We start from the raw sequence: 13,278 nt of genomic DNA, 5'->3' as shown, positions 1-13,278 counted from the left end.
GAGGCAAAAGAATAGGACAAGAAAAAATGAAACTATTTATATCCGCTAATGACATAAAAATATGCCCAGAAATTCCTAGAGAACCAATAATAAAACTAATTCAAACAATAAAAGAATTCAGCAAAGTAGCAAGTTGTAAAATGTACATGCCCAAACCAATGGCATTTGTATACAAATAAACATTTAGAAGAGACACTGAATGAGAAACCCTCATTTATAATAACAAGAGAGAATTTTTAGGAATTTAATAAGAAATGATTGAAAACCAAGAAGAAAACCATGAAACACTCCCAAGAGACATAAAAATAGACTTGAACAAATGGAAAGAAATCCCTTATTCTTGGTTAGGATGTCTCAACATCATCAAGATGTCAATTTTCCTTAATTTATAAATTTACTGAGATAGCAATAAAAAAGTACAGAAAAAGATCTGGTCTCATATACAAATCTGGTATATGATAAAGATGGCATCGCACATCACTTAGATGAAGATAGTGTTTTCTTTACAAATAGTTTTGGGAAAATTGTATAGTTAGCTGGAAAAACATAAAATTAGACATATTCCTCCAGAATACGTAAGAATAAACTCCAAATGAATAAGAGATTTAAATGTCAAAAATAAAACTATACTAGAAGAAAACATGAATCAATTTCTCTCTAACATTGATATAGAAAAAGACTTTCTAATTACAACACAAAATTTACAAGTAATAAAAGTAACATTTGATTTTACTATATAAAAATATAAGTACAATTTGTATAGCAAAAAACACCATATGTGAGGTCAAAAGACAAATGACAACTCTGTAAAATATTCACAACATATATTCACAATAAAGAGCTGATATTCCACATTTATATAGAATTCTTAAAAGTTTGGGGAAAAAAAGACTAAAACTCCTATCAAAAAAATGAGAAAAAATGCACATGAACACACTTCATAAACAGAGATACAAAAATGGCCCTTCAACACAGAAAAGCATGTGTAGTTTTACTTGTAATAGGACAAATGTAAGTTAAAACTACAATAAGATGCAAATTCTCACCAATCTCAAAGATTCTCACCAATCTCAATCTTAAAGTTGACCACTGACAAAGATTCTCTCCTTAACCAAACTCTAGTCAGGCTCCTCTGAGCTATCTTCTTAACCACGGCCTAAAAAAAACTTGGATGAAACACCTAACAGAGTTTCTAATGGCTCAAGCCACATCCCTAGGATGACTTCAGCCCCACCTTACAATGCCGGCCTGAAAAAACTCAAGGCTGCCAATGTACTTGAAAAAAAAAATGTACTGTTTGTTCCAACATCTGAAGATAGGGCCCCTGTCCCCCAGTCTCTGTGAGAGGGTAGGAGACTAACCACCATAAACATCAGTTAGCAAACACAAATGGGTTTCACGTGGACCGACTCCCTTCTCACTAGTAAATGTTCACTTTTCTGACTCCACTAAGCCCCTGCTCAACCCCTTCCCTCATTTTCCCTTTAAAAAATGCCCAGTCACCATTGTATAAATCAAAGTTGAATCAGTTCACACTGGACTCTTTTCCCTATTACAATAATATCTTCTGATTAAAACCTGTCCTCAACACTTTAGTATCTGGCTTTATCTTTGACATCATATATGCTCTGTTGGCAAGGCTGTGATGAAACAGGCACTCTCATACATTGCTGATGCAAAATAGTACAATCCCAAGGAGGGGAATTTGTCACGATCTAACAAAACCTACGTGTGTATTTTTTCTTCAACCTAGCAATTCTACTTCTAGGAATTTATACTGAAGGTATACCTCAAACAATGTGAAAATACATATGCACCATGTTATTTATTAAAGGATTATTTGTAATTGCAAAACACTGAAATATATTTAAATGTCCAAACACAGGAGATTGGTAGAACATTATTCATACATACAAAAGAGTACTTTGCAGCTGTGAAAAACAATTTTGGGTAATCTCTCACATTTACTTCTATAATCGCTACCCTTACAATGAGCCAGTCTTAATGTTTTCCCTTAGTGATATGGTTTGGTTGTGTCTGTCCCCACCCAAATCTCACCTTGAGTTGTAATAATCCCCATGTGTCAAGGGCGGGGCGGTTTTCCCCATACTGTTCTCATGATAGTGAATAAGTCTCATGAGATCTGATGGTTTTGTAAGTGAGAGTTCCTCTGCACAAGCCCTCTTGCCAGCAACAGGTAAGATGAGACGTTAATCCTCATTTGCCTCCCGCCATGACTGTAAGGCCTCCCCAGTCATGTGGAACTGTGAGTCAATTAAACCTCTATCGTTTATAAATGACCCAGTCTTGGATGTGCCTTTATTAGCAGCGTGAGAACAGACTAATACACTTGGTTTATTTTTAGCACAAAATTATACCTGACATACCTCTTACACCATACACATATGACGAAAGCCAATACTAATGCACAGGGTCAAGAAAAGACTAAAAACCTTTTCCAAGAACAAGGCAAAGCAAAAATCCCAAAAAGTTCTGGGCTGCAACTCAGCAATCATACCCAAATAAAGGTACTCCTCTACAAGTCAGTAGTTCTAACTTTTATTAGCCCAACTTCGCATAAATGTGTATATTATGCAAACAAATTTAATCTAAGTATAGCTCAACATTCTTTCTGGTAGATAAGAAAAAGGCAATGTTAGTCATATTTTTTCCCAAAGAAAAATTATGACTGTACAAATAATTGTGTTATAATTAATTTCTATTATACTTGTCACAGTTTAACAAACCAGAAAATTAAAACTTAAACCTACTATCTTCTATTTTCCACCCAACCACTGTCCAGCTCATTATATGCCTATTTATTTGAAAAAAAAAAAAAAGAGGTCCTTCATTATGTTATCTCTTGAGGATTTGCTGAAATTTAATGGGTTTGGATGAGATATACACACACAGATGTTTATGTGAATCTTTTTTTCATAAAAAGTTAAAGTTACTTAGTGAAGCTATAGCAAGGCTTTCTTCTCACTGAACTGATTCAAGTGTAAATAATCCAGAGATCTAGCTAAACCACTGCACATACCTAAATGTCTCCCAAAAGGACCCAAATTTATTATCTTCAAATATATTCACATGTACAAACATAAGACTATGATACACGCAGCACCAGCAAACAAGATGATTCTTGCCTAAGTTCATATTCTAAAAAAGGAACAAACGTAAAGACCATTTTATTAAATACATATACAATAAATAGTTTAAGGAAAAAAGGCAAGGTGGGGTAGTTTTTTTTTTAAAAAAAAAAAAAAAACAACGTTTTCAACAAATTTAAGCCCAGCTATGTTAATCTCTGAAGGTTATACTGGCAATAAGTTAAAAGAGTTATTTCATTTTAAAATTGAGCCCCTTTCCATTATGCCATGCAACCAACTGGTGTCAATTGTCACAGTGACAAATGCTTCTCATGCTTTTAACATCATTTAACTAAAATTATTTGCAACTAGTATTTTCTACTTTATAAAAATGACCTCCAAATTTCAAATCGAGAATTTTATTACAAAGACATGAATGAATCATAACCAGAGAGATTCAATGAAGCCAGAGAATAAGCAAATAATTACACAGGTAATCAAAAAATAAAAGGCAGGCTAATAAGAGGAACCTGAGTGTTCCACCCAAGCATCAATTCTTCACATCTGCAGAGCATAATGGAAAGAGACCTAAATTAAGAATTGGAATCCCTGGATTCCAGCTGGCACTAGTTCCACAAACTTACAGTCGCATGCCTTAGATAATAAACCACTCTGGTTCTCAGCTTCACCTTTCATAAACGTGTTAGAGATACTTGTATCTTCCTATTTCATCACTGGTTGAAGTCATTCATTTATTACTAAATACCTAACATTGAAACTCAGTTCAGGTGAAGGGGAGACTCATTTGGCATAATACTAGGAATATCATAGCAGAGGAGCACCATATTATAATCCCAGTTCTATGTTCACATCACATATGGAAAATAGCAATGAAAGTATTGATTGAATCAATTTACAAAATATTCACATAGTAAGACATCCCCAAGAGCTAAATAACATATCTTGAAATTTTTTTAAGAATAGATAAGAAATCGAAATTTAATTACCAAATATTTCCCTGTGTTCTAAAACTATTTTCCACTGCTACTCTTCCACTTAAAGCTATTAGCTTCAATTTATTTAGCAAAGACTGTAAAGTGAGGGGAAAAGATAAAATAGGCATATAATCTTTGGGAAATATCCCAAGAAATGCACAGAAAAAAAAGGAAATTTTAACCATCCTAATTTAAAAAAAATCCATAAACTCTATAACAGAGACAACATACATGTCTAATAAATTTGGCGATCATAAAAGGTAAACAAATATCCTAGGAGGAAGGATTTGGAGAAGATGAAGAAACTGGATGTTCCATGCAAGAAGCTCACAGCATTTCCACTATGCTTCACATTCCAACGCCACAATTCATTCCTTAATCCAATTTTGATTAACACTTTCACAAAATCCACAAATCTGATTTCCCATCTCTTATCACTGTCAGTTCACAGTAACACTTGGCACCTTCCATTTCTTCTATTAACCACCTCAGCCAACCTACCTGGTTAAAATAAAAATGATGAAACTAGCTTATCAAAACCAGCAACATCTCAGTCTTGATTATAAAATATAAGTTGAGGCCATTTTCAAAGAACAGTGTAAATCCAGAAATTAATATAAGCAGCCTTTATAAGTTTGAAGCACACAATAAAAGAATGTCATCTTCTGAAAGTTATTTAAATGCAAAGTAAAGTAGTAAATACGGGAGGAAAAGCTGCTAGTCTTTTGCTTTTTATTCTATAATTTACTTTAATACTTATAAGAAATCTCTATTACTAAATCCCTACAAAAATTTCAAAGTAATGCTTTTTATATTAGAGCATCAAAATGAAAAGTCTTAGGGATGGTTGTAATGAATTATTTTGTTCTTATTCCACGTTTTGATTTAGCACTCTAATCACATCCTAACAAACATAAAGGGAACAGATGTTTTGGCATCCTCACAGAGATCCAAAATTCCCAGTGCCTCCACCCCCCAAAACACACACACAGTGATAGATGGATTTCAAAAAACAACAAAGGGTTGGTTATCAGTATCTTTAGATGAATGCTGTTAGTACTATGAGCTCACATCATCAGAAGCTGCTGGGGAGAATCCTGCTTATCTGAGTGGCTTCTGAAAATATGCTGCTGGTCAAAACAGCACCAGGCCCAGGGAGTTGAAAACATCTTTGGGGGTAACTCTGGACCTATGGAAGTGTCTGAGCCAGTATCTAATATTTAATTACTCCAATATCTAATTACTTCTGTGAGGGCCTAGCTGTATGAAATATGATTATCTTAAGAAGTTTCCAGCCATTGGAAACCAGAGAGGTAGTACTGCATAGTGGAAAGAGCACTGAACTAGATGAAACATGTTTGGGCTTGGAGCCCAACTTTGTCACTTACTTGATCATGACTCCTGCATAGCAATTCATGTATCTAAACCCCAAGGGTTAAAGCAAATCTCCTAGAGTCCCTCTGAAGCTTTAAAAGCTATGAGTCTCCATAGACAAAAATATGCATATGCTTTTAGCAAAACTTTCCTTGCAACTCACTGGATTCATTCATGATTTAAAAACAAATATAATCGGGGAGAAAAACACTCATTCTCATCTACGGCATTTTATCATTAATGCTAAATATGTATATACACATAAGACATGTAATATGTATGATATAAATAATCCCAACTTGGAATTAAGTAACTAGCACCCGTTAAATTGTGAAATAAAAAGTTCTTCTTTAGTTGGCAGGTTATTCTAATTGCTGTTAAATGGCCTTAATCAAATAGACAGCTCAATATTAGAAAACAAGCAAAGTATGTATAATCAGAATATATAATTATCTTTCAAAGTTTCAAGTTATAAGATGCTATTAACCCTCACGCTGCCTGAGATCACACAAAAAAAGGCAGTATTTAAATATAAAAACACTATCAAATAATCAGGTGTTTGGGAGGTTTCAAAAATGGTTTCCTGTTGGGCAAGGTGGCCCAAAAACGGTTTCCCACTAGTAAATTATTTTTTCTTTCTGCTGGAAGCTGTGTGCCACCATATAAAGATAGGTTGGCTCTTTTTTATCTCCAATCCAATCCCCCTCCCTAAAAAAATCATCCAGCAGTCTAAATTACATTGATAATGTTAAGAGTTCTTAGACATGAACAATATAGAGGCCTTGCCAGACCTGGAACACCCCTCCACTTCCAGCCAAGACAGTTAACACTAGTTACTCAGATAAATGGTTACCCAAAGCATGTGCTCCATAGGCACTCATTATTCCCTGGGTGCATTAGAAACAACCAAACCACCATACTAAAAAATCCGGTTAAACCAAGCCAGACAATCTACTATTCCTTTCACCTGCCCTGTGCTTTCCTACTCTCATGGCATTGCTCATGATATTTCCTTTCCATTCCTGGACACACACTGTTCCTGTTGTGCCTGTTGAAATCTAAGACCCAACTTTTTCCTCCCTTGCAAACCTTAAAGAGATATTTTGACTCCTTGGATACTTTATGCCATTTGACCTTTTCTTATTCTACCTCTGATCATAATTAATGTGACCTTAACTAGATTATTACTTTAAAGTCTTATTTGTCCTTGCTGATCTGAACTGATGACTGAGTAAGAAAACTGACGACTGAGTAAGAAAAGCTCAGTAGGCCAGGCGCGGTGGCTCACACCTATAATCCCAGCACTTTGGGAAGCCAAGGCAGGTGGATCACCTGAAGTCAGGATTTCGAGACCAGCCTGACCAACATGGTGAAACCTCGTCTCTAATCAAAATACAAAAATTAGCCGGGTGTGGTGGTGGGAGCTGTAATCCCAACTACTTGGGAAGCTGAGGCAGGAGGATCACTTGAACCTGTTGAACGCGGGAGGTGGAGGTTGCAACGAGCCAAGATCACGCCATTGAACTCCAGCCCAGGCAACAGAGGGAGACTCCGCCTCAAAAAAAAAAAAAAGAAAAGAAAAAGAAAAAAGCTCAGTAATGACAAGTGAACTGGTTTACACTTAACAAGTTATAGTGCTAAGAATATGAAGTCTGTGTCTTCTACCAGCATCCAGGAAATAGTAACAGGCTAGCTTATTAATTTGCAAGTAGAATAAAATTTCAGACTCCTCACAATTTTTGATGATCCAGAGAGAAAATGGCAAGAAAAAAAAGGAAGAAACAAATAAACTTTCCTTACCTACCTTTTGGTCATTAAGTTTTAATTTTAAAAATTATCAAAACCTACTTAATTTAGAAATCATTACATAAAATTATATACTACAAAATTAGCTAGGCACTCCATATATGTGATAAGAATAAATCTGACAGCTGAATTCTTAGTTCATTCTGAAACTGACCTGAGCAAACCAAGTAAATGATAATATTCTTTGAAGTGAAAAGGTTTCTCTCTTCAACCAAATATTCAAATTTGTAGCATTCAGCAAGAAAGGTCTACTCACCTATTCAACCACATCAAGCAAATTAACCTCAACAATCAATGAAACGTCGTTTAACCTCCTTACCATCCCAAACATGACTGATTGATATGCAACACAAATTATTTTTGATATGCTACCTCTGGCATCTGATAATTATGGTATTAAATAAAAGATAATCAGCATTCATGTGCTCAGGGAAAGGGATAAATGCAGACTCTGCTGATCAGGAGTGTAAATTGAAATACCATTTTTTATAGGGCAATTTAGGAAAGACAAACCAAAAGCCTTTAAAATGTAAAGCTTTGACAGACAATGCAATTTCATTTCTCGTGATTTATCCTAAAGAAATAAAGATGTACACAAAGATTTAGCTTTAAGAATATTTACTACAGTGCTGTTCATAATGACAAAAGCTGGAAATAACATAAATATCCAAGAACAGGAAAGCAGTTAATTAATCCACAGCATCACTTACAGTGAAATACCGTTTGGTCATTAAAAATTATGCAAGTAGCATATTTACTGAAATAGAAAAATTGTTTTTTGTTTTTTTTTTTTTGAGACGGAGTCTGGCTCTGTCCCCCAGGCTGGAGTGCAGTGGCGCAATCTCAGCTCACGGCAAGCTCCGCCTCCAGGGTTCATGTCATTCTCCTGCCTCAGCCTCCCGAGTAGCTGGGACTACAAGCGCCCGCCACCACGCCCGGCTAATTTTTTGTATTTTTAGTAGAGACAGGGTTTCACCGTGTTAGCCAGGATGGTCTCGATCTCCTGACCTCGTGATCCACCCGCCTCAGCCTCCCAAAGTGCTGGGATTACAGGCGTGAGCCACCGCGCCCAGCCGGAAAAATTGTTTATAATGTAGCAAGTGGCAAAAAAGTTATAAAACAGTTTGTGCAGCTACTTTTAAAAGCTATCAGCTTATATACACATTAAAAGAACCAGCTTTGCATGCAGACATATGCAATTTTTACTTTCTTCTTTTTGCTTGTGTCTTTTCCTACAATTAATGTTTTAGTTGTATAATTTAAAATATGCATATTTTTAAGAGAATGTATATTAATGATTGCTTAATTTGAGCCACTATTTATATAACTTATATTATGTCTAGCCCTATAAAGACTGTGAGTAACATAAAGACATATAAATAACATACCAGTTTAAGAAGTCGGAAAACAGAAAAAGGGTAAGGAGGCAGCAGTTAATTCTATAGAGAACCCAAAACAAAATGGGTACTAAACATGAACATTAACTTTAGCATTAATTTCCTGCAGCTTATTATCCATAGTAAAGAGAGTCAATACACTCTCACAGTATCTGATGAGAGAAAATATTAATTCTAAACAAAAATCCTGAGGATTTAGGAACAGAAACATGTTTTCACTCAAAAGAAGAATCTGTCTTTGGGGTTTTATACTAATAACAAAATAAACTGTTATTTTCTACAGGGACTTTACTAAAGATATTGGTTGACTCCCAAAAAATCGACATGATTATAATTCAGTATCAAAAAATACTGTTTTTAAGAATGAAACTTTAAAAGCCTATAAGAATGGGACATTAGATTAATATTATAGTTTGTCTATGATGTACTAATATAAAGCACCTGTAAAAGTACATGGCTCAGAGAAGGTGCTCAGTGTTGGTTTTCTTTCCCTCTCACTTAACCTAAACAGACTCTAATTGTGTCAACACCACACCAGTTGGAGACAAATATGGCAATCCAATTACTAAGGAAACACCTCCAATGTGCCAGACACTATGAAAACACATAATGAAATAATTTCAAAAGTTTTTTCTAACAGAAACATTTTATTTTCCCCCAAATAATATATGAGTGTGTATGTATGTATGTATATATATATATACAGAGAGAGTATATTTTTACATAGCATATATTTTTACTACATTATGAAATTCATCATAAAAACAGAACTCAAAGCTCATTAAGATGATTTGGAAATGAACAATTTTAAAAATAGTTGAGAAAACTTCAGGCAGCCTAGCCAACTCCATTGTCCTAAAATTAATCAATAACATCCTAATTAGCATCTTGAAATAAGCTCCCCAGGAAAACCCATCAGCCTGCCAAAGTAATGTTATTTTTAAAAAGGAAAAAAAAATCCTTATGAATACTTCATAAACTTTCAAATAAACCACAAAGGGTTTCTCTACAAAGGTGTTAAATTAAAAGCTTCCAAATGTTGTCTATAAATCTCTCCACAAATTGGTGTAAATATGTAGGGTACATCAAAATGTAAATGCAATCACAAACAAGGCCTAATTTTTTAAGTAAATAAAAGTACTACTATGAGTCCTTTATATTTTCCCTTTCCAGAAATGAAGTATGATGAATTTTCATTTGGAAATCTTGCTGCTAAGTTTTAGCGATTTATTTGGGTTTCAAAATAATGTACCTACTTTTTTTAAAAAAAGAACCTAAACAGCTAGTGTAAAAGCAGTAAACCAATACATTCAAGAAAAGCAGAGAAAACAGACTGAAAGACAACCAATAAAAACTATGCATCTAATTAAACCACTCTAAAAACATGTTTAGTAAAGAAAAAAAAGTACATTCAACTGCAAAATGATTTCAAAAAGCTCAAAACCAACTAAACTTTTAAACTCAGAGCAATGGTGAATAGAAACAAATGGCAGAAAATTGATTGGGAAGGGATGCTGCTGGCCTTAAGAACTTGAGGTTCTGTATACCAGAGTAAATAAAAACGGAACACTAATTTCATCTCAGATTTCCAAGAGGTTTTTCTTTTTTTTTTAATTAGTTCAATTTCACTGTAGCTCATTTAGGCTGATATCTAAGAATAGTTTAAAATGATACTATGCATAAAGCAAGCAGATGATTATCTCTTTTCATTTCCACTCTCTTTCCATTTAAAGGAAGCACAATTATTCCCTGTTCACAGGAACTCAAATCTGCCTCTTACTCTGTAGCATTCATCTTAATTTTCAATGTTATTTTTAAGCTCTATGTATGACTAAACACTTCCTTCAAAACATTGCTACTGTACAGAGGATATAAACTGCCAAAATGCCTAGACTCTTTCTTCTCATTTCATGTCAGTCAACACCCTGCACATGTTTTGAGGACTCTCCTGCTTCTTGCTCACCTGATGCCCCACTGCCACATTTGCTCTCACACAAGTATATCTTCGATAATTATTATCAGTTATTTTTAATCACAGGCTAAAATGATCCCCCACTGCCACATATTGAAAAATAAGCAGCTTACATTCTAATACAAAGTTCCTTCATGAATTATCTCTCTTGCCTGAGTTATGCCTTGATATTTTTTCTCACCAGGAAAATGTACTTAGATTTCATCACCTTCTTTATTCAGCTCCTCTATCTTTCCTCTCCTCAGCTAACCACTATATTTTATAGAACTCAGTTACTAAAAGTTAACAACTTTTCATCAAACTAGGTAATAAATAAGCAGAACTAGAAAGAAAGAATTTCTTCCAAATCTTACCTGATTTAACCATCAAATATGACTCAATATTATAAAATAAATTAACAGGTTACAAAAAGGTTTCTGCACTCATATCTGCCTGTAGCAGCACTGACCAGGAGCCTTGGGGGTAATTTCTAGAAGGCCTGGGATGATTTCTAAACTTCTTTAATTTTTTTATTGAGAATAGCCAAAGAAAATGGGTTACCTTGATATGCATCACAATCTTCACCTTATTATGTTAACTCCTTTCTTAAAAAGAAATTCCTCCATTAAGCCATCGCCAATATTTGCTATTATTCTCACCAATTCGAACCAAAGCTACTTCAACTAATGTTTTAGCACAGCTTGAATAAATACCAAAAAAGTACAACTGTGTTAGACAAATAATAATATATGAGCCTGCTATTATGTTTTCTATGACTACACTTCAAAATATTAATAAATCATTGGTTTCCTTATAGATATACATATACGTGTGTGTGTATATATATGTACATATATATATATATATCACCTACTATCACACGTATATGGATAATTTTATAATAAAGTACCAGAAGTTTCTTGGGGATAATTTTAACAAGTATTTACTAAAGATGAAACTAAGGATAAGGATAAGCTATTTATTATCTTATAATTTAAATATATACACAACTACTTCAAAAGATTATTTTACACTCAGCTTTTTTTTTTTTTTTTTTTTGAGACAGAGTCTGTCGCCCAGGCTGGAGTGCAGTGGTGTGATCTCAGCTCACTGCAACCTCCACCTCCCTGGTTCAAGCAATTCTCCTGCTTCAGCCTTCCCAGTAGCAGGGATTACAGGCATGCGCCACTACACCCAGCTAATATTTTTTTTTTTTGTATTTTTAGTAGAGGCAGGGTTTTGCATGTTGTCCAGGCTGGTCTTGAACCCCTGGCCTCCTTGGCCTCCCAAAGTGCTGGGATTACAGGCATAAGCCACCATGCCCAGCCTACAGTCAGCTTCTTTAAAAAGTGAAAGAAACTCAGAAGAAACATAATGGTAAACACCTTGAGCACAAATTTTTGTTCATAAAAATTTGTAAGCCAAGTATATCTTTCAGCTTTTTGTTATATAAATGCACAGAGGGGCTTTCTCATGAAGCATGAGCACAATTTATGTCTTTGACTTTTTTAAAAGCATATAAAAATGGTCAATAAAAGAAAGCAAAATATACATACACAAACACACACAACAGATTTAACCAAATTTAAAAAGATGAAAAGACAAAACTCTAATTTGTTTAAAATGTTTGGTTTAATTTTTAAGAGTTCTTTTCTGCTTTAATAGAAAAAAATTGCTAACATAATAAATTGCTTTACCATCTATTAGTGATAGCAACATTACAATAAAAAAATTAATAAAACTTATTAGAATAAAAAAGGTGATTGGGTAATTTTATAATATATACTATCAAAGTAAGAACATATATGAATAAGAAAAATAACAATAAACAAAACATTTCAAAATTATTAATATTTACCAAATGATAGCTATACCTAAAACTGAACATTTAAAGACAAAATTATGCAACTACATCACACTTAAAGTTAGTAATCATAAAATCTGTAAAACAGTCCTCATGGTTTCTACAATTAGTTTAAAAAGATATTTTTAGCCGTATTAACATACATCCACTGTCGTTATTAACTTAATCTTTAATACATCATATATAATCACACCCTTCCAGGATACTTATTGTAGCTCAGGTAAGAAAATTTCTGTAGTACCCAACAGACATATAACCAGCAGGTTTGACAAAGAAATTCATTGAAGGATGAAGATTACTTATTTTTACACTAATTCCTGGACACAATTACAAAGCAGAATAGATATCTACTTACTAGAAGTGTTATAATTTCCTGACTTGACATTAGAGAAAACTCAAGGATGTCTCCAGTGAGAGACATAGCGCATTCTTAGGCTAAAGGAAGAAATCATGGTAAACAGTACCTCCACATGGTTAAATCAAGTGGTCAATCCTTTAATATTACCATATTCAGACTCTCAGCAGCATCTGACATAGGTTCCATTCTTCTTGAAATGCTTCCTTCTTCATGCTGTTGTGACACCACCATCTCCTAGTTTTCCTCCTACCCAGCTAGTTGCTCTAAGACTCTACTAGTCTCATTCCTCTATCTAACCCCTGAATGTCACAAGACCCAGGGCCCTCATGTCTTCTTTATTTATACCCTTTCACCTCAATCTTCTTACCTGGTATCAGGGCTTTAAATACAAGTAGATGCTGATGACTCCTAAATTTACAAACTCAGCCCTGATCACTCTAGGTT

General features: G+C 34.2%; 1 protein-coding gene across 6 annotated transcripts in view; it reads right to left on the bottom strand.

Moving 5' to 3' along the window:
• VPS50 (VPS50 subunit of EARP/GARPII complex) overlaps positions 1-13,278 on the bottom strand; it is a 128,758-nt gene that overhangs the window by 70,862 nt on the left and 44,618 nt on the right. The gene's annotated exons all lie outside the window — the stretch shown is intronic.

This window comes from Homo sapiens, chromosome 7 (genome assembly GCF_000001405.40).
Source record: "Homo sapiens chromosome 7, GRCh38.p14 Primary Assembly".
In the NCBI taxonomy this organism is placed as follows: domain Eukaryota; kingdom Metazoa; phylum Chordata; class Mammalia; order Primates; family Hominidae; genus Homo; species Homo sapiens.
Note: the sequence above shows the minus strand (reverse complement) of the source record. Positions and strands in the feature narration are given on the sequence as shown.